The 25,287-nt window shown below is 54.3% G+C and overlaps 3 protein-coding genes and 1 long non-coding RNA gene across 13 annotated transcripts in view, besides 4 other annotated features; 2 read left to right on the top strand and 2 right to left on the bottom strand.

Moving 5' to 3' along the window:
* Positions 1–272: 272 nt before the first annotated feature.
* Positions 273–5,513, bottom strand: GFY (golgi associated olfactory signaling regulator). Of its 2 annotated transcripts, NM_001385187.1 has the most exons (5): positions 5,246–5,513; positions 3,771–3,843; positions 1,647–2,850; positions 1,141–1,314; positions 273–641 (listed from the first exon to the last, which is right to left on the bottom strand). In NM_001385187.1, exons 3-5 carry the CDS (start codon positions 2,827–2,829, stop codon positions 442–444), a joined length of 1,557 nt encoding a protein of 518 aa, NP_001372116.1. In that variant the 5' UTR covers positions 2,830–2,850; positions 3,771–3,843; positions 5,246–5,513; the 3' UTR covers positions 273–441. The 2 variants fall into 2 exon arrangements, with proteins under 2 accessions (NP_001372116.1, NP_001182185.1); NM_001195256.2 differs by lacking the exon at positions 5,246–5,513 and having other exon boundaries at positions 3,771–3,872.
* Positions 5,500–5,703: a silencer, noted in NCBI's record as "fragment chr19:49926814-49927017 (GRCh37/hg19 assembly coordinates)". NCBI's record gives its function as "represses an EF-1alpha promoter that drives an FKBP-Casp9 reporter gene in an ReSE screen in HepG2 liver carcinoma cells {active_cell/tissue: HepG2}" and the evidence as "EXISTENCE:reporter gene assay evidence [ECO:0000049][PMID:32094911]".
* Positions 5,819–6,841, top strand: PTH2 (parathyroid hormone 2). The gene is made up of 2 exons (NM_178449.4): positions 5,819–6,048; positions 6,618–6,841. Exons 1-2 carry the CDS (start codon positions 5,921–5,923, stop codon positions 6,790–6,792), a joined length of 303 nt encoding a protein of 100 aa, NP_848544.1. The 5' UTR covers positions 5,819–5,920; the 3' UTR covers positions 6,793–6,841.
* A 4,428-nt stretch (positions 6,842–11,269) lies between these two features.
* KASH5 (KASH domain containing 5) overlaps positions 11,270–25,287 on the bottom strand; it is a 29,742-nt gene continuing 15,724 nt past the window's right edge. For 6 of the 9 annotated variants that reach the window (XM_011526489.4, XM_011526495.3, XM_011526494.3 and 3 more), the window contains 11 exons: positions 22,297–22,374; positions 21,964–22,020; positions 21,589–21,648; positions 20,229–20,293; positions 19,977–20,064; positions 19,385–19,507; positions 16,234–16,292; positions 14,264–14,309; positions 12,181–12,245; positions 11,994–12,104; positions 11,270–11,891 (listed from right to left, as the gene is read on the bottom strand). In XM_011526489.4, the coding sequence (XP_011524791.1) occupies positions 11,750–11,891; positions 11,994–12,104; positions 12,181–12,245; positions 14,264–14,309; positions 16,234–16,292; positions 19,385–19,507; positions 19,977–20,064; positions 20,229–20,293; positions 21,589–21,648; positions 21,964–22,020; positions 22,297–22,374 (894 nt within the window). In that variant the 3' untranslated portion in view covers positions 11,270–11,749. The remainder of the gene's footprint in view (positions 11,892–11,993; positions 12,105–12,180; positions 12,246–14,263; positions 14,310–16,233; positions 16,293–19,384; positions 19,508–19,976; positions 20,065–20,228; positions 20,294–21,588; positions 21,649–21,963; positions 22,021–22,296; positions 22,375–25,287) is intronic. The other 3 variants (NM_144688.5, XM_011526490.3, XM_005258549.4) reach the window with 3 other exon arrangements.
* LOC124904740 (uncharacterized) lies at positions 13,102–16,308 on the top strand. The gene is made up of 2 exons (XR_007067289.1): positions 13,102–13,586; positions 16,156–16,308. It is a non-coding gene; the product is annotated as an uncharacterized LOC124904740 (long non-coding RNA).
* Positions 13,326–13,879: an enhancer, noted in NCBI's record as "H3K27ac-H3K4me1 hESC enhancer chr19:49918638-49919191 (GRCh37/hg19 assembly coordinates)". NCBI's record gives its function as "activates a minimal SCP1, AML or CMV promoter by ChIP-STARR-seq in naive H9 embryonic stem cells {active_cell/tissue: H9 hESC(naive)}" and the evidence as "EXISTENCE:reporter gene assay evidence [ECO:0000049][PMID:30033119]".
* Positions 13,880–14,434: an enhancer, noted in NCBI's record as "H3K27ac-H3K4me1 hESC enhancer chr19:49918083-49918637 (GRCh37/hg19 assembly coordinates)". NCBI's record gives its function as "activates a minimal SCP1, AML or CMV promoter by ChIP-STARR-seq in naive H9 embryonic stem cells {active_cell/tissue: H9 hESC(naive)}" and the evidence as "EXISTENCE:reporter gene assay evidence [ECO:0000049][PMID:30033119]".
* Positions 20,239–20,288: an enhancer, noted in NCBI's record as "active region_14937". NCBI's record gives its function as "activates an Ori minimal core promoter by ATAC-STARR-seq in GM12878 lymphoblastoid cells {active_cell/tissue: GM12878}" and the evidence as "EXISTENCE:reporter gene assay evidence [ECO:0000049][PMID:35858748]".

The following is a 25,287-nucleotide window of genomic DNA, read 5'->3' as shown; positions in this document are numbered from 1 at the left end:
GTTTCAGGCCCCCAGCCCCTCCTCTCCCGGACCCAGGAGTCCAGGCCCCAGCCCCTCCTCTCCCGGACCCAGGAGTCCAGGCCCCAGCCCCTCCTCCCTCAGACCCAGGAGTCCAGACCCCCGTCCCTCCTCCCTCAGACCAGGAGTCCAGGCCCCAGCCCCTCCTCCCTCAGACCCAGGGGTCCAGACCCCAGCCTCTCCTCCCCAAGTTTCAGCGGTCTCAGACTCCAGCCCCTCCCACCCCAGGGCTCAGGCCAGAGGAGGGGTCTAGCCATGGGAACATGATATTTATTCGGTCTCAGACCTTGTTCTCTGATCACAGCGCAAGCATCTCTGTATATTAGACCCTTTATCCGGGGCACTACTCTAGCTAAGCATACCAGAAGCGCAGGGTTTTCCTTCACTGTGGGGATGTGCAGGTCCGGCAGAACTCGGTGGGGCTCACACGAAGTTGTTGGGGAGCGTGGCGGGGGACAGGGCCTCCAGACGCTGCGGGCGACCCCCGCGGGGCGGCGGGGGCAGCTTTGGTGGCAGAGGAGGTGTGGGCGGGGGCTGCTTGGTGGCGATGTGGGAAGGGACCCAGGTATCCGGAGCATAAAAGTAGAGGTCGTAGGGGTCTTTCGGGGCGTCCAAATGCAGAACTGTGGGTGCAAAGGGGCGTGGTCATCTCTGGGCTGACCCTCCAGGCCCCCTTCCAGATCATCTCCAGGGCCGCTTTTGTGCGGCCGACCGATCAGGAGGCCGGAGAGAGGATTCCGATTCTGCATTTGAACTGAGTTTTCAATAAAAAGGGTGGGGGCCGCTGCAGAAACCAGGAGGCGTGGCGTCCGATCAGCAGCGGCGGGGCCTGCAGTGGAGGGCGGGAAGTACAGGGCTCCGGGCCGCGTACCTGGAGGGGCAGGGGCGGGGCTGGCGGGGACGGCCGGCTCTGGGCCTGAAGCCGTTTCCAACCGCATTGGGAGCGGCACTGGACTCTTGGGTGAAATTGCAGACATTTAGGGGGCTGGACGTTGCCATGGAAGAGCCAGGGCTTTCATTGACCTTGGGTGGGGGACCTGTGCTTTTTTGGCTGGCGCCCTGTAGTGCCGGGAGAGACCAGGTTATGGAAAAGTGCAGGCATTCAAGGGGCAGGGCGCTCACCCGGTTCATCTCCGTCGTCCGGAAGCCGGTGATGTGCGAAGGGCCGCTGTCTAGCTGCCCGGCGGTAAAGACACCACAGCAGCACAAAGATGCCGATCAGCAGCGCGGTCCCCGCGAAGAACAGGCAGAGGGCCCCGCCTGCTGCGCCACGTGGTCGCCCCACCAGAGTCACGCCTGAAGGGGGATACCAGCAATCTAAGCTCCTAACCCCCTCCTCTCTCAGACCCAGGGGTCCAAGCTCCTAGCCCCTCCTCCCTCAGATCCAGGAATTCCTGTTCCCAAACCCTTCTCCCTCAGACCCAGGAGTCCAGACCCCAGCCGGTCCTCCCTCGCACCCAGGAGTCCAGGCCCCCAGCCCCTCCTCCCTCGGACCCAGGAGTCCAGGCCCCCAGCCCCTCCTCCCTCGCACCCAGGAGTCCAGGCCCCCAGCCCCTCCTCCCTCGGACCCAGGAGTCCAGGCCCCCAGCCCCTCCCTCAGACTCAGGAGTCCGGCTCCTGCCCCTCACCGGTCTCCTTCACTCGCTCCACCACGATGATGGTGTTGACTCCCTCACCTCGGCTGTGCCTCTGGGGTGCCCGCAGAGTGGCAGGGGCCAACTGACTGGGGCGCCCTGGAAGAGCAGGGGGACCTGCAATCCGGGCTGAGGGAGGAGGGACGTTGGACTCCTTAGGGCCAGAGTTCTGGGGGGCCTTCAGCTCAACCATTCCTGGAGAATCTGAAGTGGGCAATTTTGGGGAGTCGGGCTGGATGGCTGCAGGTGTTCCTGGTTTGGGATTCAGGGACAGCTCATTTAGAGCAGTGGCGTCATCCTTGAAGGGCACAGGTGTTTCTGGGTAGAGACTAGTGGAGATTTGAGGGTCGGAGGTCCTGGGTACATCTGTTGCATTTTGGTAGTAGGTTGTGGGGAATTCTGTTTGGGAAATTTCGGTGGGGCTGGGATTGTGGGTCACATGGGATTCTGGGTGGGGGGTTTTAGAAGGGTCAGGATGGAGAGCTTGGAGAAATTCAGAGTTTGGGGTCTCAGTGGAGTTGAGGTCATGCTTTTCTGGGGATTTGGGGTCAGGGGTCTTGGTAGGGTTAGTGTTTGAGGTCTCGGGGAGTTCTGCCTGTGAGACTTCAGTGGCATTAAGCTGCAGAATCTCTGGGGATTCTTGGGGTGTAGTTTGCATAAGGTCAGTGTTTGGGGTCTCAGGAAATTCTGGGCGTGAAGTTTTGGAGAAGTTAGGTTTGGGGGTCTCAGGGGATCCTGGGTGTGGCATTTCAGTTGGGCCAGGTGTGGGGGTCTCAGAAGACTCTGGGTGTGCCATTTTGGAGAGGTTAGTTTTGGGCATGTCCAGGGATTCTGATATTGAGGTTGTGAGTGAGTCAGCTTTGGGGGTCTCAGGAGACTCTGGGTGCGGGGTTTCTCGGAGGTCAGGGTTGAGGGGCTCAGTGAAGTCAAGTGGGAAGGTTTCCAGGGAAACCGTATGAGGTAGCTTGGAAGGCTCAGGGTAAGGAGTCCCAGGAAATTCTGGGTTAAGGCGATCTCGTTTGGAATTTTCAGAAGCACCCTTCAGAGGGGAAGTCTCAGAGGGGTGGGCCATGTCCGGAAAGCCACAGCCCAAAGGCAGAGGGGCTGAGGGAGCGGCCTTGGACCTCAGGCCGGCGAGGAGGAAGACGAGGAAGAGGATCCGGCTGAATGATTTCATAGCTCTGGCAGATACCTATAGCTGCGGGGGAGAGCGGGAAGGAAGGGGTTAAGGCCGAAGGCTCCCAGGAGCCCCGCCCACTCCCGGAGGCCACGCCCACTGGAACACAGGTGGACCACGTCTGTCCGGGGCCCAGCTTGGCGCCAGGGATGGGAAGAGAACCCAATCGCAAGTCCCTTGGAGGCTTGTGGGGCGATGGCCCAGGTAGCCAAGAGAGACTGAGGCGCGGGGCTACTTGGGAGTCGTAGTTAATTTCCTTATCTGTTTCAGCGAGGGGTCCTAGAAAAATTGGGAAAGAACGACACTTCTCCAGGCCTCAGATCTCCTCGACTTCGACTTTAGGGAGTGTCAGGGCTTCGAGGGGACGTGGGATCTCCTTCCTCTCCGAGGTCCCCCGGGACACCTTGACTCAACAGTTGTTTACACTACAGGAGGCTCCTAACGGCTGAGGGCTGGACTCATGGATTTGAGGGAGGAGGGAGACATTTGGGCTCTGGGTTAAGAAGGTTGCTGGGGGTTCAGACTCCTGCGTCTTGCAGGGTGAGGGGGCTGAGGTTCCTGGCTCCTGGTTCTTTAGAGAGGAGAAGGCTGGAAGTTCAGGTGCCTAGAATTTTGAGGGAGCAAGGTTTGGGGGCTGGATTGCAGGGGTGAAAGGAGATAAGAGGCCTTGAGCTCTTGGTTCCTGAGTTAGAAAGGAATTGGGAGCTCTGAGTCCTCCAGAAATAGGGTCTGGGGTCTGGGCTCTGCAGAGTAGAGGGGTAGGGACTTGAAGAAGAGAGCTTTGGGGCAGGACTCTCAAGTCTGTTATTGAAGATGGAGCTAGGATTTCGGCATCTCCGGGGCCAGTCTGGGCAGAGAAGCATAGGTCTGTGTTCAGGTGGAGGTGGAGGCGGCCGACACATCGATGGGACAGGCTTACTTGAGGTCCTGGGGTCTCTTACCTGCTCTGGTGTCCAAGGTAACAGCAGATAAGCAGAGCTGGATGCAGAGAACGGTGAATGTTGCAGAACAGATCTGGGCAGGGCGGTGGGAGGTAGGGTCTCAGGGGCACACAGGTGACGCACCTCACCCCCTCCCAGGGGATCCTGGGAGCCTAGCGACAGACTTAGACTCTTAAAGGGACAGAAGTAAAGGACATTTTCTCTGGGGTGGGGAAGGGAGTTAGAAACTGGATTGATCTAGTGGAGATGTGGCCCAAATTATTTTTTTGAAACCAGTGGTCCTGGCCCTCTACCCTCTCCTACCTGAAAACCCAGGGGTCTAGTTCCCTGGTACCTTCCTATTTCAAGTCCCCTAAGTTGTATCCCCCAGCTCCCTCCCCCCAGACTCAGAACTCCAGTCCTCTAGCTCCTTCCTTCCTCAGATTCAGGAATCCAAGTCCCCAGCCTCCTCCTTCCCCAGAACATAGGAATCTGGGTCCCTGTCCCATCCACTCTTAGACTCAGGAGTCCAAGCTTCTGCCACCACCTTCCTAGGAAACTAGGAGCCCAAGTTCCCACATCCCAAGTTTCTACTGCTCTGTAGGACTTCCAAGTTTTGCCCATCTTCTCCTCACTGTGTATAAAGGCCCCTCTTTTTAAATTTTTTTTTTTTTTTGAGACAGAGTCTCACTCTGTTGCCCAGGCTGGAGTGCAGTGGTGCGATCTCAGCTCACTGCAACCTCCCTCTCCCAGGTTCAAGCGATTTTCCTGCCTCAGCCTCCCAAGTAGCTGGGATTACACCACACCTAATTTATGTATTTTTGTAGAGAAGGAGTTTCGCCATGTTGGCCAGTCTGGTCTCGAACTCCTGACCTCAAGTGATCCACCCACCACGGCCTTCCAAAGTGCTGGGATTACAGGCATGAGCCACAGCACCCGGCTGAGGCCCCTCTTAAGAGTCAGTGTGGACTGGGTGTGCTGGCTCACGCCTGTAATCCCAACACTCTGGGAGGCCAAGGAGGGCAGATCACAAGGTCAGGAGTTCAAGACCAGCCTGGCCAACAGTTTGGCGAAACCCTATCTCTACTAAAAATACAAAAATTAGCTGGGCGTGATGGTGGGCACCTGTAATCCCAGCTACTCGGGAGGCTGAGGCAGGACAATGGCTTGAACCTGGGAGGTGGAGGTTGCAGTGAGCCGAGATAGTGCCATTGCACTCCAGCCTGGGCAACAAGAGCAAGACTCCATCTCAAACAGACAAACACACACACACAAAAAGAGTCAGTGTGAGGAGGACTGGGCTTTAATCTTCACAGCACCCCCAAACTCCTCCCAGATAAGGGCTTAGACACATCCTTAGGGCAGCTCAGGAGCCCTGTCTGTTTTCCCCTCTTCTCACTCTCTGAGGTTTTTCTGATGTGGTCTGTCACTTTTCCTGTCCTCACACCCCTGCCACACGTACCCTTTGCCATTTCTTGCCTTTCCCCCCTCCCTACCTCACCCTCGATCTTTCTGGGCCTCTCGCTGCTGTATTTATCTCTGGGCAGCTCCTTCCAGACCAGGACGTCCTTCCATTTCCGTCTGTCTTTCTGAGAGCCTTTTCTTTCCCTCCTCCATCTCCATCTGACTGTTCGTTTCCATCTCCTTCGCTCTCTTTTCTTGTTTTCTTCCTTTTCCTTTCTTTTTCTGTCGTTCCCATTCTTTCTCTCTATTTCTTCCTCGGCCACTCTGTCTTTGTCCTTCTCTTTGTGTCTCTGTTCCTCTGACGGTCCTTCCGCCAGTCTCTATTTTTAGCCCTCTGACACACCCCCTGTGTCCACCTCTCTGTCTGTCTGTCTCTCCCCCTCCCTCGTCTCAGGTCCAGCTTCTGGTCCCAATTAGTTGGTGGCGGCCAAGGCAGCGGCAGGTCCCCCACCCCCGGCTCCTCATTACCGCTGGCGGCTCCTAATGAGCCTGGGGAGGGGGTGACCCCGCGTCCCCGGCCCCCCGGCCTGCGTCACTGCCCGGTGCGGGGGCTGCGGAGGCGATATAAGGGGGCTGCCACCATCGCTGCCCCAGCCCACTGCACGGTAGGGGACTGTGCGGGAAGCTGGGGGTGGATGCATGGTGGGGCCCGGGGTTCTGGGCCGGGATGCAGCCCTACTGAGCCCCTTTCTGGTTCTCCACAGGTGATGGAGACCCGCCAGGTGTCCAGGAGCCCTCGGGTTCGGCTGCTGCTGCTGCTGCTGCTGCTGCTGGTGGTGCCCTGGGGCGTCCGCACTGCCTCGGGAGTCGCCCTGCCCCCGGTCGGGGTCCTCAGGTAGGTGCCAGTCCCAGAACTCCCAGGGAGGGGTGGGAACTTGGAGAAGTGGGAAGAGAACCAAAGAGAAAGGGGACGGAAGATCCAGAAAGCGGAACAGAAGCCCAAAGAGAGGGCGACCGAGACCCAGCGAGAAGACAGAGACTAGGGGTGGGGGAAGGCGGGAGGAGGGTTTGGTGGTAGTGGTGGTGCGGGAAATGGACAGAAAATCAGCAAGGGAAAGAGACACAGAAAGATAGATCCCGAGAAAGGCGTGGAGAGGCTCGAAAGGAGTCGTTGCAGAAACGGATTCATTCTTTGAGCAACGTTTATTGGGTTCTTGGTGTGCGCCTGGCCATGCGCTGAGCGCTGTGGGCGGACAAGTGCATCAGACTCGGTCTCAGTACCTGGGGAGTTTCGAACCTGGTGAGCAGAGAGACAGAGACCCACACAGAGAACGAGAGAGACAGGGGGAGCCGGACCGAGCCACTCCACGGACTGGGCAGTAACGGGGCTTCGAGTTAGACCGCGGGGAGGACAGGCGGCGGCAAGAGCGAGTCTGGACGCGCGGTCACCGCGTCTCTCCACAGCCTCCGCCCCCCAGGACGGGCCTGGGCGGATCCCGCCACCCCCAGGCCGCGGAGGAGCCTGGCGCTGGCGGACGACGCGGCCTTCCGGGAGCGCGCGCGGTTGCTGGCCGCCCTCGAGCGCCGCCACTGGCTGAACTCGTACATGCACAAGCTGCTGGTGTTGGATGCGCCCTGAGCGCGCTGCCCGTCCCCATCTTAATAAAGACCATGCCCTGCGCTCCGGACTGCGCCTAGTTCCTGCGCGACCTGCGTGTGCGTTGGGTTGGGGGCGCGGGGCTTGAAATGGGGGGTAGAAAAGAGACAGGACTCTGTGTCGGCCACTCTGGCATCTCTCTCCTCAGTCCCCACTCTATTTTCTTTCCTCAATTCCGTTTCTCTCTGCCTGTCTTTGTCCAGGAAGCTGGCTTCTTTCCTATTTCTGGATCTCTGCTTCCCTATCGCCCCCACCCCCCCGCCCCCTCCTTTCATTCTGGGCCCCTGTCCCTCCCTACCCCCATCTCTGTCCCCTTCTCTCTGGTTCTCTGTAATCTCCAAGGTCTCTGTCCTCCTCCGTCTCTGTCCCTTTCTCTGGGTCTCTTTCCTCTCTGGGTATGTGTCCCCGTCTCCCTGGGTCCTTGTGGTTATCTCCCCTTTCACCCTTTTGGCTTTCTGGTCTTCTGGGAATCTCTGCCTCCTCTCTCTATTCTCCTTCTGCCTCTGAAACTCTTCCTTCCCTTCTCCATCACTTTCTTTTTTCCTTTTTCCTCTGCCTGACTCCTTCATATCTTCCTTTTCTTTCCTCCGTTAGGTTTCTATCTGTCTCTCCATCAGCTCTCATCTTTGAATTTCGCTGTTCCTCCCTCCCATCACTTCCAGACTTCTCCCCAGGCACAGTGGAAAGATCGCGGGCTCTGGTGTGAGGCAGCCCTAGCATCCAAACCCAGGGTCCTCCAAATCTAGCTGCGTAGTACTGAGAAAGCCTTCTTGACGTCAGTCTCTGTGTCTCCTTTTCTTCATCTGTTACGAGGATCCAATAAGATATACTTCATAAGACTTCAGTACAGCGCCCGTTACGTAGCAAAACGCTTTTATTTGAAAAGGGTTTCCTCTTCTCACAGCAGCGTCCAGCAATTTTTTTCAGGGTTTTCTGACTTCGGGTCTCCTTCTCTAGAGACCTTCGGGGCGCCAGGCTGGGGCAGGAGAAGAGAAAGGAGCAGGCGTCAGGCTCCAAAAAGGACAGGGAAAGGGCGGGAAGATACCTGGGCTGCAGGTGAAGCGAGAAAAGAGCCAATCGAAATCTGTCTCTCTCCCCGGAGGTCCAGCCTGCCCTTCAGCTCCGCCCCTCGTGGTAACCATGGCAACCCGGTGGTCCGCAGAGGGCTAGATCAGCGCGCCTGGGGCGCCGTTCGTGCGGACCGCGCTCTCATTGGTTTAAAGAAGAGAGTGGAGCCGGCCGCGTCTGCTGCGCGGGAAGCGGGGCCGCCGCGCGTGTTTGGCAAGGCGTCCCAAAATTTGCATTTTCGGGAGGCGGACCGAGCCCTAATTGGCCCTTGGACTGTGGGGGCGGGACTGTTTCCTCTGTCCTTCCGAATAACAAAGGAAAGACTGCATTCCTCAAAACTATCTGGAGTTGGCCTAATTTTACAAATAAGACTGAAAGTCAGGAGGAATTTTCCTAAGTTGTTAGAGCTACTAAGCGACAAAAGAATAACTGGAATCCGGGTATGTGCAATTTCAAAAGTCTAGACTTTTCCGCCACTCTCATGGAGAAATGGAATGAAAATGTGAATGAGCAGTTGCTATATAGCAGGCACTCTTCTAAGTGCTGTGCTTGCATTAACTCTTTTAACCTCACAAAGACCCTATGAAGAGCCTCCTCCTGTTTCCCCGCGGGCCTGGTAGCTGGGTACTGGCCTGGTCTCTTCCCACACTCTATTTTCTTCCCGATCCGTATCAGAACATTTGAGGTTTTGCTCAAAATGGTGTCTGGAGCCTCCTCCCTCCCCACTCTACTCTCAAGCAAATTCAGCAGTCCCCACAGCTTCTGCCACCACCCACAGCTGACAACACCCAGACCCCCTTCTCCAGCCTGGGAGCTCAGGGCTCAGGACTCCAGCCCCTAAATGAACTGAGTCTTTCTCTGAACTCACTCCTTATCATGGGTTCCCTATCTTGGGAATGGCTCCACTGTCTACTAGTCACTGGGCCAGGTCCCAGGGGTTGTCCTTGTCCTGCCCCTTTCGCCATCCTTCACAGCTTGTCAGTCTCCAGCCCGGTCCCTCCCACCCTGCCCTGGCTCTGCTCTTCCCTCCTCTCCACCCACATGCCCTGCCTCAGGCCTCATTCTCTCCAACCTGGACCACAGCCCCAGACTCCTCCCCACCTGCTGGCCTCCATTCTCATCCCCTTCATTCATTCATCTCCTCCACAGGCCCTGAATGCTCTTCTTCCTACCCAGAGTTCTGCCTTCCCTTGCTCACAACCCTTTTACCGGCACTAGGGAATAAAGTTCAAGCTGGTGTTCAAATCCCTTCATGGGCTCTTGCCTACCTCTCTTATTTCCCACCACTCTGTAGCCTTCAATCCCTCCCAGGCTCCAAATCTTTAAAAAAAAATTTTTTTTTTAAATCCAGCAACAGGATGCCGCCTATGGCTCTCCAGACACACTGGTCTCTTTCCCACCTCTATGACACCCTCCCTGGGCCCCTGCTGACTGTAACCCAAACCTTACCCATCTTTCAAGACTAAACACAAATGTCACTTGTCTGGAAAGAATCCTGTAACCTCCAAGCCGAATCAGTTGCCTTTTCTGGACTCTCACAGGACCTGCAGCTACCTCCATCTGTCTTTAAATAGGTCCGATTCTGTCCCTCCCTTGCTCAAAACTCTCCAAGGAAGCATCTGGGGTGCTGAAACTGTCTACTCTCTTGACCTGGGCTGTGATTTTCATGGGTATATACGTACACAAAAGTTTATCCAGCTGATACTTAAGATTTGTCTGCCTATCTGTATGTAAGCTGCGCCTCAATTAAAATGTAAAAAACCAAAGACAAACAAGCAATAAAACCTCCCAAAGCCCCATCATTCTCAGGAGAAAATCTAAGCTCCTCAGCTTGATGTTGGAGGTCCTGCTTTCCTCTACAGCTTCATCTTCTAAGGTCTAGCTGTTGCAAAGAGATGATGAACACATATTTGTTGAATGAATAAATGGCACCCTGGTGCTTTTCCTGTTTACCATTTGCACTCTAGAGGACAACTCTGGTGTGTGCCTGGTCCTCATCCCTGTCCTCCTTTTTCTGTAGAGTTGCTGCTGCCTTCGACAGCTGTGACTGGAGGGTCTGGTGGGGCTGCCAATCTCGTGATCCTTCTCCTTGGCCACAGGGATGGGCATGGGCCCCACACACTGCCTGTCATAGCAGCCCAACCCCCTGGGAGCTGGGGAAGGGGACCCTCCTTTGACTCTCCTGGTTGAAGGTGGGGCCCTGTCTCCTTCCTATCTTGGGATTTTCCCAGGCAAGGAAGGATGTTCAACTCATAGGCTGCTACAAACAGCAGACAGCCACCGTGTGAGTTCATTTGCTGAACTGGACTCAGACTGAGTTTGGATCCCAACTCTCATAATTTTTAGCTGTGACATCTAGGTCAAGTCATTTAACTTCTCTGTGCTTCAGTGTCTTCATGTGTAAAGCAATAATAGCACCATCTACTTCCTAGTGTTGAGGTGAAGATTAAATACATATCTCAAAGTGCCTAGCTCAGCGCCCTCCCACCCTGGGGCCAGCCATCCTGGGTGTCCACTCTTGTTGTTTACAGGGAGCGTTGGAGCCATGGTGTAAGGATCTTGCTGGCGGTGCTATGAGGCAGGCAAAGCTTGGGGCATTCCCTGCATAATACCATGGGCCACATGCCACACAGAGTGGGTGCCCAATCATGTATTCTTTTCGGGAGTAGGGTAGGCTTCTCAGACTCCATCTGCTTCCCTTTGGTGTCCTCAGCTTTACTCCAGCTGGGAAGGGGCTTACAGCATAATGATGCCTCAGAGCTGCACCATGCAGATGGTCCATGTGAATAAGAGGGAGGGGTTGGGGTCTCGCATGTGTTTTTTTAATTTTTTTTTTGTTTTTTGTTTTTTTTTTTAAGACACAGTCTCACTCTGTCTCCCAGGCTGGAGTGCAGTGGCACAATCTCCACTCACTGCAACCTCCGCCTCCCGGGTTCAAGTGATTCTGTGCCCGGCCCAAGAAGATTGTTCTTTATTGACTTAGGATGCAGTTGGGACTGGGTCAACCTAGGCTGCTACCCGTGGAGGGGTGGCAGGACAGAGTCAGGATCCTATCGGGGGAGGGCAAGGCAGAGCTGTAGAGAAGGTAGGAAGGAGAAAGAAATCAAGGAGAAGAGGTATCCTGGAGCCCTTCGAAGCAGCTTGGCCATGCATGCCAAGGCCACTCAGCAGCTGCACACTGGTGGTGGTGTGTAGGTGACTCCCAGAGTGTTTGTTAGGTCCATGGCCTGCAGTGTTTTTCAGTGTGAATGAGGTGTGTGGCAAGGCACTTTCAAGGTACCCAGTCCCCGCAGAGGTACTTGACCTCCCAGGTCTCCCAGCCTCCCTTACAGTTAAGGGTGGTCACACCAAACAGTCTGGCTAGTGAAACAAACACAAGTCTGCTGGTGGCTCTGGGCAGGCAACTGCTTCTCTTTTATTATGAATATGATTTGAATCTACCCACTGCACACTGAGGCTACTGCCTCTCTTTATAAAAAGGAAGGAAGAAATTTCCGTTTCCCGCAGATGTGATGTAGGAAGCTACAACTGCCAACTCCTGAGCATGAGGGAGGGGACAGGAGAATCACTGAGGCCCTGACCCCAAGGCAACCGAGACTTAGCTGTGTGCCCACAGCTGCCCTCGCCAGGCTTGTTTTGTGAGGGAATAATCCTTAGTGCTTAATCCATTACTGGGGGAGTTTTGCTATTGTTAAGAAATGTCAGCATTAAAAAACTAGGAGACTTCACATAAAAATACAGGGATGTGGATCCCCTGTACTCTATCTAGGGTAAGCCTGCGCAACAGTGGACTAACAATGGGGATCCCAGTGGAGAGAGGGCCAGGGGATTTATTGAGCTAGACACTGCTCTGAGGGGCAAGTAGAGCCTCTCACACTGGAGGGGGCTGGAGGTAGCAGAGCTGGAGGTGGGGCCAGGTGGGAGGTGGGGACGGGCCAAGCAGCAGGACAGAGAGCAGCAGCAGCAGCAGCAGGCCCAGGACAGGAGCTGGGATCAGTGGATGTCGAGTGACTCTGGTGGGGAGGTGGGAGAGCATTTAGGGCAGGGTCTGGGCAGCCCCTGCTCTTCCCAATGTCAGACCACCTCCTTCCTTCTGGAGACGCCTGGGGGCACACCTGAGCCGCTGTGGGGGCAGGCAGAGCTGGCCCCAGGCCCTCCTCCTGACTGGGACCAGCTTTTTCATCACAGGCACCAGGGCTTGCTGGAGTTCCCGCCGCGCAGGTCTGCTGGGGTGAAGGAGGGAATCACCACTGGGTTTTTCCTTGCCCCAGTGTCCCTCCTGGACCCTGTGGGTCCTATTACCTCTCTGGAGGGTTTTCTGGGATGTCTCCAGGGCGAGGGGCTCCTAGAGGGACAGGGAGATCAGCCTGCAAGGACAGAAGAGATGCGTTGGAGGCACCGGGTTCTGGACTGAGAGGTGCTCAGGTCAGCCCACTGGACACAAGTGGCCACATAGAAAGTGGTGGAGCTCAGGAGATAAGTGAGTGCACTTCTGCTGCCAGGTCGGGTTCCCATTTCTGCCAGCTTCTGGCTGAGGGTCCTTGGCATGTCACCACACCTCTCCGTGCCGCTCTTTCCCCATCTGCTGGCCAGGGATGTCCCCACCTCATAGGGTTAACATGGAGACTAAATGAGTGAATGTAGGAAAAAAAAGGCGGGGGCAATAGCTTGGACAGCGCCTGGTACATAGTGAGTGCTCAATGTCTGTGTGAGCTATTCAATATCATCACCTCCGTTTTCCATTGGATTCTGGAAGTATCTAAGCTCTCTGAGGGCAGAGACCACATCTTCTACAGGTGCCCACCCCTGTGCTGGGCCTCATGAAGAATCCTGTCTTCCTGCCTATGCCAGAATCGGCAGGCGCTTTACTAATTAAAAACATGCCATTACAGGCCAGGTGCAGTGGCTCATGCCTGTAATCCCGGCACTTTGGGAGGCTGAAGCGGGCGGATCACAAGGTCAGGACATGGAGACCAACCTGGCCAACATGGCGAAACTCCGTCTCTACTAAAAATACAAAAATTAGCCGGGCATGGTAGCACGTGCCTGTAATCCCAGCTACTTGGGAGGCTGAGGCAGGAGAATGGTGTGAACCTGGGAGGTGGAGCTTGCAGTGAGCCGAGATCGCACCACTGCACTCCAGCCTGGCGACAGAGCAAGACTCCATCTCAAAACAAAAACCAAAAACAAAACACCATGCCATTATAAATGGTATAATTACAAATTTATTTTTCTAATTGCTCATGGTTGCTATACTGAAATATGATTTTTTATTTTGATCTTTCACCCAGCAACCACACTAAATTCACTGATTAATTCCAACACTTCATCTGAGGATTCAAAGATCAAAGCCCCAGCTGTTCCTCCAGGGCCAGGCCCCACCCACTGCACCGCCTCATCCCCCATGTCTCCCCGGAAGGGCCTCCCCTCTATGGGTCTTTGGCTTTCCTACCCCCATACCTTTTTAACACAGATGAGGATGATGAATGACAATGATAATGGCAGTAAATAAAAACAGAACACCAATCACAATCAATATCTTCACCTCTACCACCTGCTGTGCCAGGCAGGGACCCAGGCCCTTTATGACATAGTCCTTAACCCTCCTCCCCACCCTGGGAGCAAGGAAGAGATTATGCCCATGTGAGCTGTGAGGAAGCTGAGGTGGAGCCCCAGTCTCTGCAAGGGAGTGTAGTATGTTGAAGGAGGTGGGCTTCGGGGCCAGGGTGCTGGGAGCTGAGTGTCCTGGAGGCAGCCATCTTGGCCGGTTTGGACCCTGAAGAGCCCCAGGGGCCCTGACAGTGCCTGACCCACAACAGGCAGACTCCAGCCCAGCTCCTGCATTCCTCAGCTCACAACTGAGGGCTCCTCACCTCTCCTTACCAAGTTTCTTTCCCCGTCCTTGCCTGAGAATGGAAATCTTAACCCCCACCGGGCACTGGGCTCTGAGGAGCAGAGGAACTGGCCTGTGTGGCTGCAGGCAGGGGGGCTGCGGGCACTACGCCCCCAGGGAGTTCTGAGGCTGGCTGGGGAGGGCCGGCCCAACCTCTCCCGAGTGTGGGCGCATGTGCGTGTGCATTTATGCAATCCGGGGGTGTAGCCACGTCTATGAGGCCTGCGGTGTGGTGGCTGCAGCCCTGTGTGTGTGGCTGGGAGGGTCCCCTGGGAGCAGCCTGGCCGCCCACTAGCCTCCAGGCCTCCCCCCACCTCACCATCGCTCTCATTAGCTACAGCAAAGGCCTTGTTATCTCTTGGCCAAATGATTTTTCTCTCTGCTCCTGAGGAGTTGGAGTGTGAGGCTGGGGCTTGGGAAGAGTTGAAACGACTCAGCCTCTGTGGGTGTGGAGTGGATGGGGACTGGGGAGGGGTGCTGGGGACTGCCTACCGTGACCTGGCTCTCTGCATCCTCCTCTTCCTCTCTTCTGGTCAACCTGAGGGCCAACAAAGTCACTGCTGGCTTCGTCCTCTTCTCCCTGGTTCCCTTTGCCTACTATGGGCTGGGAGAGAAGCCTTGGAGCAGGGGGTCTTAGCACAGGCCAGGCAGCACGGACGGGCCTGGGGGAGGCCAGGCAGCACGGACGGGCCTGGGGGAGGCCAGGCAGCACGGACGGGCCTGGGGGAGGCCAGGCAGCACGGACGGGCCTGGGGGAGGCCAGGCAGCACGGACGGGCCTGGGGGAGGCCAGGCAGCACGGACGGGCCTGGGGGGTGTCCTGCATATGTATTTTTCACAGGAATTTTCACCAAATTACCCAAAGGGTCTGTGAACCACTAAAAGAATAAGGGGGCCTCTTCATCTCAGATTGGTTTTCTCAGCCACTACTTCCCCAGCAGATCCCCCAGCTGGGAACTGAGGCTTCTGGCTCTCTCACCCTCCAAAATACCAGAGATTCAGGCCTCTGTAAGACCCCAGAGCACGTGTCGAAACCCCCTTCCTGTCTAGTGGGTTGAGCCATTTTTCAATGACTGTCACTGGGTGCTCTCTGAGGACTGGGACTCCAACTCAGACCTCCCAGCCCACAGAACTCAACTGTTGGAGCTCTTCCCCATGCCGAATCCTCTTAGGTGCAAGACCCTCTTCCAGGAGGACTGGAAGAGCCCTGAGGGGTTAGCATGCCCCTCATTCATTCCCATCTTCCGGGAGTAGACCCTGGGCCTGTAGGCCAGGAGATGAGACCTGACCCTTCCCTCAGCGAGTCTCGGTCTAGGAGGAGATCTGGCTCCTGACCCTGCCTCGGCGGGAGGCTCCTAGGGAGGCCCCTCCTAGGGTCACAGCCATCTGAGTCCCTGAAATGCTGCTTTGGGGACTCAGGCCTCAAGCTGCCCAGCCTGAATGCCCCTTAGAGACCCAGCCATCCATACCACCAGCCACTGCCTTCACTGGGGACCAGAGATCCAGCCCTGCAGTTGCCACCACCACCAGCTTCAGACCCAAAACCCTCAGAGATACCCTCAGGAATACAGCTGTGCTCCCACGCGATAAAGGATCCAGGCTCTTAGGCCCCAGTCAGACATACACTATCTGATCCCCTGAAACTTCTACTTGGGACCCAACCCCTCTCAAGGTCCAAGCCCTCACAGCTGGCTACATTTAGGAGCCGTTGTATTCACCACCTTCCTCACTCCCAGCTTTCCAACCTGCGGATCAAACTGCCCCTGACCTCTGGAAACTCGCATGGCACCTGCCTCCCCCACTTCCACTACTGCTCAGCCCCTTCTCCCCTCCTTTCTCTGGTGACGCAGAGGGAGGTCATAGCTCCAGAGCTCCCATCCCGCCCAATCTCAGCTCTTCCCAGACAAGTCCAATTAGAGGCCTTGGCAGGCAGCCTCATTAGTAGCCGCAGCTGGGAGCCTGAAAGAGGGGAGGGGGAGAGGGAAGCAACACAGGAAACCAGAGGCCCGAAGGCCAGGGCCCCGGAGGAGGGTGGGCCCAGTCATCTAGTGCGTTCTCCATCCTCAGAGGCCTGGACACAGCCTCCTAACAATCACATCCCAATCACAGGGCTGGGACTTCACGGCATACAACCAAATGCTTACACCAGCCTGACTGCAAAGTACCTGAGCTGGAATCTGAATCCACGCTGATTCCAGAGGCCCCCCCTCACCCCATTCAGGCATGGCAGCCTCGCTGGGAGCCCTCCCCCAAGGCAGGGTCAGGAACCAGATCTCCTCCTAGACCTGAGGGCAGGGCCAGGCCTCATCTCCTGGCCTACAGGCCCAGGTTCTGCTCCCGGAAGACATGAAGAAGGAGTGAATGAATGAATGCCGATCCCCTCAGGGCACATCCAGTCCTCCTACTGTAAACAGCTGTGAATAAGGTGTCACCCTGAGGCAGACGGATGGCTCAGCTCCTTACCACATGGATGGCTCCTTCCTTCCTTCTTCAGGGTGCGCTGGCTCTCCCTGGAAGTTTCTCTGTGGAAACAAAAAGGTTAGTTCTTCTCTGATTCTTCTCACTCAAAGCTCCAACCCTAACAGTGCCCACTGTCTCCCCCGCCGGTCCCAGACCCCATATACAAAAGGTCTTCCAGGCTGCAACCTACACATGAATTCACCACCTTCTACAACCTGCCCTCCTCTCGTGCTGCCCTACATGAGGATGGCCCTATTAGCCCCCTAAGGGCAGAAGCCAAAAACCAAAGGGTTGTTCTCGATGCCACCAAGCCCCCTTCCCTGACAGGACCCAGGAGTCCCGGTTGCCTAAACTTCCTGGATGTTCCACAGATCTCGTACACTTATCTGGGTCCCAGAGGAGATCAGCATTTCCCTGTCCAACCGCCTTCTCATCCCAGGTTCCCAGACTTGGGCTGGATCTATCTGCTCTCCCTCAGGACCCAAGTACCTCTCGGTTTCTCCAGAGACATATTGGCATTGCCCTTGACCTCAGCAACCAACTTGCCATTGTTTTCTAAACGCAATCCTCGAGCTCCAGGATGGTGCACCCAACTCTTCCAGGCAGCCCCCAGACATCCCTCAAGATTTCACCTCACAAGGTCACAAGTTCCAAGTCTTGCCTCCTTTCCTCCCTCCCCATCACCCACATCCCGTCTGACCCCTGCTCTGTCCCTCCACCCCAATTATGTCTGTCTGTCCCTTTTCCTCCATCCCTAGGGCCCTGGCCTGGCTCAGGCTTCATCACCATTGCTCCAGCCTCCTCCCTGCCTCCAGTAGGTCCCTCACATGGTTCCAGAGGGATCTTTTTAAGCCCGGAGCTGACCCCACCCTTCTTGTGGCTTTATGAAGAAAAGTACAATCTGTTAGCTTGTCAGAGATTTCCTTTCATGATCTGGCCCTGGCCTCATCTCTCACTAGTCACCCCTAGTTACCCTCTACTCCTCAAGCATATCGTGATTTTATGCCAAGGCCTTGCACAGGCTGTGCTAGTGCCTCAAAGGCTGGCTTCCTTCTTTCCTTCCTTCCTTCCTTCCTTCCTTCCTTCCTTCCTTCCTTCCTTCCTTCCTTCCCTCCTTCCCTCCCTCCCTCCTTCCATCCTTCCTTCCTTCCTTCCTTCCACTCAAGTATCAGTTTTCCTTCAATATCTTCCCCAATCTCTGACCTGACACAGATACCCCTTCTCTGGGCTCCCACAGGCCCATCCCCCACCTCTAGCACAATGATCATTCTGCACTGGGGCAACCCATTTGCAGGGTCTCTCCTATCAGGCCTTGAGCACTGAGAGGCCCGGCCCCAAGGGACTCAGCTCTGTATCCCTGGGCCCATCGCAGGTTGCACTCTGAGGCCTGGCTCAGTCTTCCCCTTGACAAGCCTGTCTCTCAGGGGCATCTGACAGCTCAAAGCAGAAGCCCAATCTAACCTACACTTCTGAGGGATGAGGCTCTGTCCCCAACAAGCTGTGTGACCATTGGCATGTGATTTCTCCCTGAGCCTCAGTTTCCCATGAGTAACAAGATGAGGATGCCTGCCTTACAGAGATACTGGGAGAGTTAAATGAGAACCCAAACAAGCTCTGGTGTCAAAGAGAAACAAAAGCTTTTCTCAAACCAGGGAAAAAGTGATCAGAGAAATGAGTCTCTCCTTAAGGATGGCAAAGAGCTTTGAAGTGGTGCAGTTCTCAAGACAATACAGCTTGTTTATAGAGCTGTTTACAACATTTTCTTTAAAAGAAAAAAAAAAAATAGAGAGAGAGCCCAGAGCAGTGGCTCATGCCTGTAATCCCAGCACTCTAGGAGACTGAGGTAGGCGGATCACTTGACCCCAGGAGTTCAGCCAGACTGGGCAACACAGGGAGACCTCATTTCTACAAAAAATAGAAAATTTAGCTACACATGGTGGCACATGCCTGTGGTTGCAGCTACTTGGGAGGCTGAGATGGGAGGATCACCTGAGTCCAGGGAGATTGAGGCTGCAGTGAGCTGTGATAATGCCACTGCACCCCAGCCGGGGCAACAGAGAAGCGAGTGAGACCGTCTCAAAATAAATTAATTAATTAAAAAAAAAAAAGCCAGGTGCAGTGGCTCATGCTTGTAATCCCAGCACTTTGGGAGGCTGAGGTAGGAGGACAGTTTGAGCCCAGGAGTTTGAGACCAGTCTGGACAACACAGTGAGATCTCAACTCTATAAAAAAATTTTAAAAAGGCTGGGCATGGTGGCTCATGCCTGTAATCCCAGCACTTTCGGAGGCCGAGGCGGGCAGATCACCTAAGATCAGGAGTTCAAGACCAGCCTGGCCAACATGGCGAAACCCCGTCTCTACTAAAAAAAATACAAAAATTAGCCAGGTGTGGCAGCAGGTTCCTGTAATCCCAGCTGCTTGGGAGGCTGAGGCAGGGAGAACTGCTTGAACCTGGGAGGTGGAGGTTGCAGTGAGCTGAGATCGTGCCACTGCACTCCAGCCTGGGTGACAGAGTGAGACTCCATCTCAAAAAAAAAAAAAAAGCCAGTCATGGTGGTGTGTTCCTGTAATCCCAGCTACTTGGGAGGCTGAGGTGGGAGGATTGCTTATCCAGGAGATTGAGGCTGCAGTGAGTCAAGTTCACTCCAGCCTTGGCAACAGAATAAGACAAGATCCTGTCTCTAAAAACAAAAAACAAAAAAAACCCCAATGGTTATTGCTGAGTTAAAGATGTCATAGTGAGCTTGCTGGCTTTTCTTAAAGGTGCTAACATTTGAAACATAAATGCTTAATATATCCTTAAAATGCTGGAATAAACAACTTACTTATTCCCTTCCTACAGTAGTACGATTTTAAATAATGTAATTCCCAAGAGTGTTTTCTAAAAAACAAACCAACAATAAAAGCCACAGTGCAACTTGTGTGTTTGCTTGGTTCACCTTTGTCTACAACGCTGGCAGGTCAGTCCCTGGGGTAGGGGTGGTGTCTGGTCTGGCTTGTGGCTGGGTGTCCAGCACACACTGGGCCCTCAATTAACATTTTCTCATCAAATGGGGAACAAGCAAAAGTGTGAGTGAATGGGCTGGCCAGGGCGGCACCTGGAGCTCCTGGCCCCTTTCCAGCTCCTGGACTTCAGAGCTTTTCCTGTGCTCACCTGTCCCCCAGCTGGGGCTTCAGATGGAAACTCAGTTTCCTCACTGGTCTCATGGATGACTTCCTCCCACTGCCACACCCCACACAGAGGGTTGGAGAGATCAGCAGTTGCCACTTCCTGTTTCTGGGACAGAAGTTGTTTCCGAGGTCAGGGAGAGCCATATTAAGGTAGAAAACAAGGTCAGAGATAGAAATAGGTTTAGGTGTGCGGCTGAAAATAGGATGAGAGATAGAAAAGGGCTGGTGTGGGGCTGGGGTTGGGGAGTGGGCAGAAGCAGGAACAGGGGAGGATTTGGTGCCAGGACCAAGGTCTAGGTTCGAGATGAAGTTAAGGAGTGAGATGGTCATGGAGGGAGACGAGATAGGGGTGAGTCAAAGCTGGATCAGACTGGGGTCTGGCACAGGCCTGGGTCTGGCAGTGGGTTTGGGGTTAGGATCCGAGGTAGAGAGAGTTAGAGAAAAGCTAAGGTTGCGATAGGAGCCTCTGGCAGCAATGTGGGTTAGGGCTAGGCTGGTGTGAGGATCAGAGTAGGGAGATGTTTGGAGATTCTGCCTTGGTGGCCTGCAGCTTATTCCAGGGGTGTTAGGCCCACCTGTCGAATGGCCTCGATCTCCAAGCCCAGCGATGGGGGTAGCAGCTCGGTCCAGCCCACTCTTCTCAGCTGGGCCCCTTCAGGTAGCCTGGCCACACAGGAAGGAGGGAGGAAGATGGCCTCTGTGCCTGGTGGCCACTCAGTCAGCTCATGCTGGCCTCCCTTCCCTGCCCACCTTGGGGCTGGAGGCCAGGGTGTCCCTGCCCTTAGGCTCCCCTCCTGCCTCCTCCTACCCCTTGAAATTCCACTCACTCATCGGGCCCCTCATAGGTCTGACTCAGCTGCTCCTCCAGGCGTGAAATCTCCAGCCTCAGTTCCTGCAAAGGAGGAAGTGGGGAGCACATTTGGCTCTGCATTTTTCCCACCCTCCCATCCACCTCTGGGCTCCTCTTCCAGGGTTCTTTCCCCTTTCCTGACTACTTTGGGCTCCCCAGACACATACTGCCTAGGGACAAGGGGAAGAAAGCCATGACAGAATGTTAGGAAGCCAAAGAGAGAGAGCAACAGGAATCCAGAAGCTAAAGCACAGGCCAAGAGGCCAGGCGCAGTGGCTCATGCCTGTAATCCCAGCACTTCAGGAGGCCCAGGCGGGCAGATCACAAGGTCAGGAGATCGAGACCATCCTGGCTGACAGGGTGAAACCATGTCTCTACTAAAAATACAAAAAATTAGCCGGGCATGGTGGCACACGCTTGTAGTCCCAGCTACTTGGGAGGCTGAGGCAGGAGAATCGCTTGAACCCAGGAGGTGGAGGTTGCAGTGAGCCGAGATTGCACCACTGCACTCCAGCCTGGGTGACACAGCCAGACTCCATCTCAAAAAAGAAAGAAAAAAAAAAAGCACAGCCAAGACAATTAAAAGAAGGAAGGCAGAGGCAGAGATGCATGAAAAAATGAGACATAGATGGAAACAGACTCACAGACAGGCAAGAGAAACATGAGGGCTAAGAGACTGGTAAAGACCAGAGCCAAACAGAGAAGACTTGCCTAGGGAGACAGACAGCCTAGACCTAGAGGCAGAGACAGGAACCCACACGAGCCTCGCAGAGACACATAAAGATAAGGAGGGGAGGCTGGGTGTGGTGGCTCACGTCTGTAATCCCAGCACTTTGGGAGGCCAAGAGGGGTGGATTACGAGGTCAAGAGATCAAGACCATCCTGGCCAACATGGTGAAACCCCGTCTCTACTAAAAACACAAAAATTAGCTGGGCATGCTGGCATGCACCTGTAGTCCCAGCTATTTGGGAAGCTGAGGCAGGACAATCGCTTGAACCTGGGAGGCAGAGGTTGCAGTGAGCCGAGATTGTGCCACTGCACTCCAGCCTAGCGACAGAGCAAGACTCCGTCTCAAAAAAAAAATAAGATAAGGAGAGGAGGTGTGTGAGAAGACACCCACAGAGAATGAAAGTGAATGGAAGGAACAGAGAAAAAGTGAAAAGGCAGATACAGAAACAGAGGGGGAGACATGCAGTCATACAGTCATACATCAAGGATGGAAGAAGCAAGATGTGGCCACTGACAAAGAGGCACGAGGAGGAGAGGCAGCAAGTCCCAGAGATGGCAAAAGAGAAGTGGCGAGGGCCGCGGTGGGTGGCGAGGGCCGCTGAGTTACCTGCGTCGTCACTCTGTATTCTTCCAGGGTCTGGGCCAGGCTCTCCACATCGCGAGTGCGCTAGGAAAGCCGAAAGCCAAATGAGACTGGGACCAGTTCCCCAAAGACACTGGGGGTGGTGGTGGCGGGGGGACTGGCTGGGGGGTTAAGGGACAGGGTGAGCTTGAGGGAAGAGCTGGGGCACAAGGGAGAGCACCGGGCAGAAGGGCTTCTAGATCCCTGAGGGGTCACACTTGGGACCTGGGGAAACCCTCCAGTCTCTCCAGCTGCACATCCAAGGATCAGACCCAAGTAGGACTTCCCTTTCTAGACCAGGGGCAGGAAGTGGCTGGTGCACATGGAAAGCGAATCTCTTTCCCTCCCGGGGCCCCTTACCTCAGAGAGGATGGTGTCTCTTTGGCAAATGAGGTGTTCACACTCAAAGAGCTGCCGCTGCCAAGAAAGGAGCCGGTCCATCCATCCAGCCTCCCAGGACTCCCCTTGGTCCTGCCCTCCACCTGGCCCCACCTGTTCTCTCGCACCCCCACGTATTCAGCCTCCTGAGATGTTCCAGGACTTCAGGGATTTTAGGGATGCCTGGGTGGTCCTGGGAGCCTGACAGCTTGATGGAAGACCCTGCCCTTATCAGGCTGCAGTCACTAAAACCGGAAATGGGAAAAATGGCCCCGGGGTGGTGGAAAGTTGTCAGGCACTAGGAAGGAGTGGCACCTTCAAAGTGTCCTTCTCCATGGCCAGCTCCTGACTTCTCTTTTTCACTCCATCCCGCTCGGCAAGCAGCTTCCCGTTCTAGAAGAAGGAATGGCTGGTCACGTTCATTCCAGCAAGTGGTAATGTCAAAATTAACAGCAGATATTTGCTAAACACTTGATTGATATACATCAGGCCTCATGCTAAGCACTTCATATGTTTTAACCCATTTAATTCCTCCAACCATTCCAGTGGGACCACAGCTTTAATTTCTTTGAGTGTGGCTCCCCCATCTATAAAAATGGAGCTAGGCCACGCGCAGTGGCTCACGCCTGTAATCCCAGCACTTTGGGAGGCTGAGGCGGGCGGATCACAAGGTCAGGAGTTCAAGACCAGCCTGGCCAACATGGTGAAACCCCGTCTCTACTAAAAATAAAAAAATTAGCTGGGCATGGTAGTGCGTGCCTGTAATCCCAGCTACTCAGGAGGCTGAGGCAGGAGAAATACTTGAACTGGGAAGACGGAGGTTGCAGTGAGCCAAGATCGCCCCACTGCACTCCAGCCTGGGCGACAGAGCGAGACTGTCTCAGGAAAAAACAACAACAAAAAAACGGAGCTTAACTAGGACCTACTTTATGGGATTGCTGTAAAGATTAGATAGGTTAATAATCGCTAACACTTACTGAGCATTTTGCATGTGTTGACTCATTTCTTATCCCCAATTTTAAAATCAAAAGAACAATATAAGCAGCCTGTTATCCACATTATCTATCACCCAGCTTCAATAATTATATGCATTTTCTCGGTTTTGTTTAAACTGAGATGTTTCTCCTCCAGATTTTTTTTTTTTTTTTTTGAGCCAGAGTTTTGCTTTTGTTGCCCAGGCTGGCATGCAATGGTGCGATCTTGGTTCACTGCAATCTTTGCCTTCTGGGTTCAAGTGATTCTCTTGCCTCAGCCTCCCTAGTAGCTGGGATTACAGCCACCTGCCACAACACCCAGCTAATTTTTTTTTTTTTTTTTTTTTTGAGACGGAGTTTCCCTCATGTTGCCCAGGCTGGAATGCAATGGCATGATCTTGGTTCACTGCAACCTCTGCCTCCCGGGTTCAAGTTATTCTCCTGCCTCACCCTCCCAAGTAGCTGGGATTACAGGCATGTGCCACCACGCTCAGCTAATTTTGTATTTTTAGTAGAGACGGGGTTTCACTATGTTGGCCAGGCTGGTCTTGAACTCCTGACCTCAGGCGATCCACCTGCCTCCACCTCCCAAAGTGCTGGGACTACAGGTGTGAGCCACCGCACCCGGCTCTCCTCCAGATGTTTTAAGTAGATTACTTTAAAGCAAATTGCAGGCATCATATTAGTTCACCTGTAGTTACTCCAGCATTTATCTCCTACTTGAGGACTTATTTCCTTTAGCAAAACCACAATACCACTATCATACTTAACAAAATTAACAATAACTCAGTATCATCTCATACTAGAAAGTTTGTGCTCCTTTTTCTTTCTTTTTTTTTTTTTTTTTTGAGAGGAGTTTCACTCTTGTTGCCCAGGCTGGAGTGCAATGGCGTGATCTCGGCTCACTGCAACCTCCGCCTTCCAGGTTCAAGCGATTCTCCTGCCTCAGTCTCCAGAGTAGCTGGGATTACGGGCACACGCCATCACACCTGGCTAATTTTTGTATTTTTAGTAGAGACGGGGTTTCACCACGCTGGCCAGGGTGGTCTTGACCTTCTGACCTCAGGTAATCCACCCTTCTTGGTCTCCCAAAGTGCTGGGATTACAGGGGTGAGCCACTGCACCGGGCCTGTGCTCCTTTTTCATTTTGGTTGTCTCAGAGATTTCTTTACATTTACTTTGATTGAGGGTCCAAACAAGGTCCATCATTGCTTTTGGTTGAAATGTCTTACTTCTTTTAATCTGACAGTAATTTCTGCCCCCTCCACCCCGACCCTGGTACTCTTCAGGCCCTCATTCTGTGGAAGAAAGCAGGTCCCTTGTCCTGTAGGATTGGTGCGTTCAGATTAGGCTGATTGCGCTCTTGTTCCCTGTGGTTATGTTCACCACTTTCCTCTATCATTATTTCTTATAAACTGGTAGGTAGATCCAGGGCCTTGTCCAGACTGTTGTTCAATTTCTTGGCAAGATTGGGTGGTGCTATACATATCAAATTGTGCCATTCAGGAGTAATGCCAAGTCTGGTTGCCCTATTAATAGTATAATCATTTCCAATTTTATAAAGGAGTAGAGAGGCTAAGAGACTTGGCAAGGTCACATGGTAAATGGACTCAAACCTAAATCTGTGTGATTCCAAATTCTGTTTATAATCCTCAGACTCTCATGTGAGCCAGACACAGCCCTGGGTGAGAATGGGACACAAAGGGAATTAGGCTCTAGAGGTGGCGATGGATGCAGAAGCGGGTAACAATGCACGAGGTGGGCTCTGGTGAGGCCTACAGCCTGGGTACCATGGGAGCACTAACAGGCTTCCTGAGGAGGCGTTGCTGAGTCTTCAAGGCTGAGGGCAGTTAGCTGGGAAAACAATAGGCCGGAGAGGGCAGCCCATGCCAGCCATGAAATGGGACCTGAACATAAAATGGCCCAGATTCCAGTCTAAAGTTTAGGGGCACCAAAAACCTATCAAGTTGCACAGGGTTTCAAAGCGAGGTGGTCACTGGGGAAATGCACTTTGGGGCATGGAGGCAGTCCAGAGTTCCCTTTCACCACGCCCCTCCTCTTGGCACTCCAGGGGATACACCAAGGCCAGCCTCTCCCTCCCTCCAGCCAGCTCCAAGTCCTCCATCAGCTGCTCTCCCTCTGTCTCAGTGGGCCTGGGCTGCCAGGTGAAGGGCAGAGGAAGGACGGGAAAGGAGTGCTGTCTCAACATCTGTCCACCTGGTAGGGATTTGCAGGCCAGATCCTGGGCCACTCGGCAGGGAACCTGGTTACTCAGCTGCTCCTGCCTCCTTCTGCAGTAACCTGAGACAGCTCTGTAGGTTCTCCACAGGAA

The sequence above is a fragment of the Homo sapiens genome, chromosome 19 (genome assembly GCF_000001405.40).
Source record: "Homo sapiens chromosome 19, GRCh38.p14 Primary Assembly".
Classification (NCBI taxonomy): domain Eukaryota; kingdom Metazoa; phylum Chordata; class Mammalia; order Primates; family Hominidae; genus Homo; species Homo sapiens.
Note: the sequence above shows the minus strand (reverse complement) of the source record. Positions and strands in the feature narration are given on the sequence as shown.

Excerpts from the sequence above, each read along its gene's own strand:
- GFY (NM_001385187.1), bottom strand. The coding sequence starts at position 2,829 with ATGAAATCATTCAGCCGGATCCTCTTCCTCGTCTTCCTCCTCGCCGGC. Across the intron at positions 1,315-1,646 it reads GGAGCGAGTGAAGGAGACCG|GCGTGACTCTGGTGGGGCGA; the intron begins GTGAGGGGCAGG and ends ATCCCCCTTCAG. Across the intron at positions 642-1,140 it reads GGACGACGGAGATGAACCGG|TTCTGCATTTGGACGCCCCG; the intron begins GTGAGCGCCCTG and ends TTGCACCCACAG.
- PTH2 (NM_178449.4), top strand. The coding sequence starts at position 5,921 with ATGGAGACCCGCCAGGTGTCCAGGAGCCCTCGGGTTCGGCTGCTGCTG. Across the intron at positions 6,049-6,617 it reads CCCCCGGTCGGGGTCCTCAG|CCTCCGCCCCCCAGGACGGG; the intron begins GTAGGTGCCAGT and ends GTCTCTCCACAG.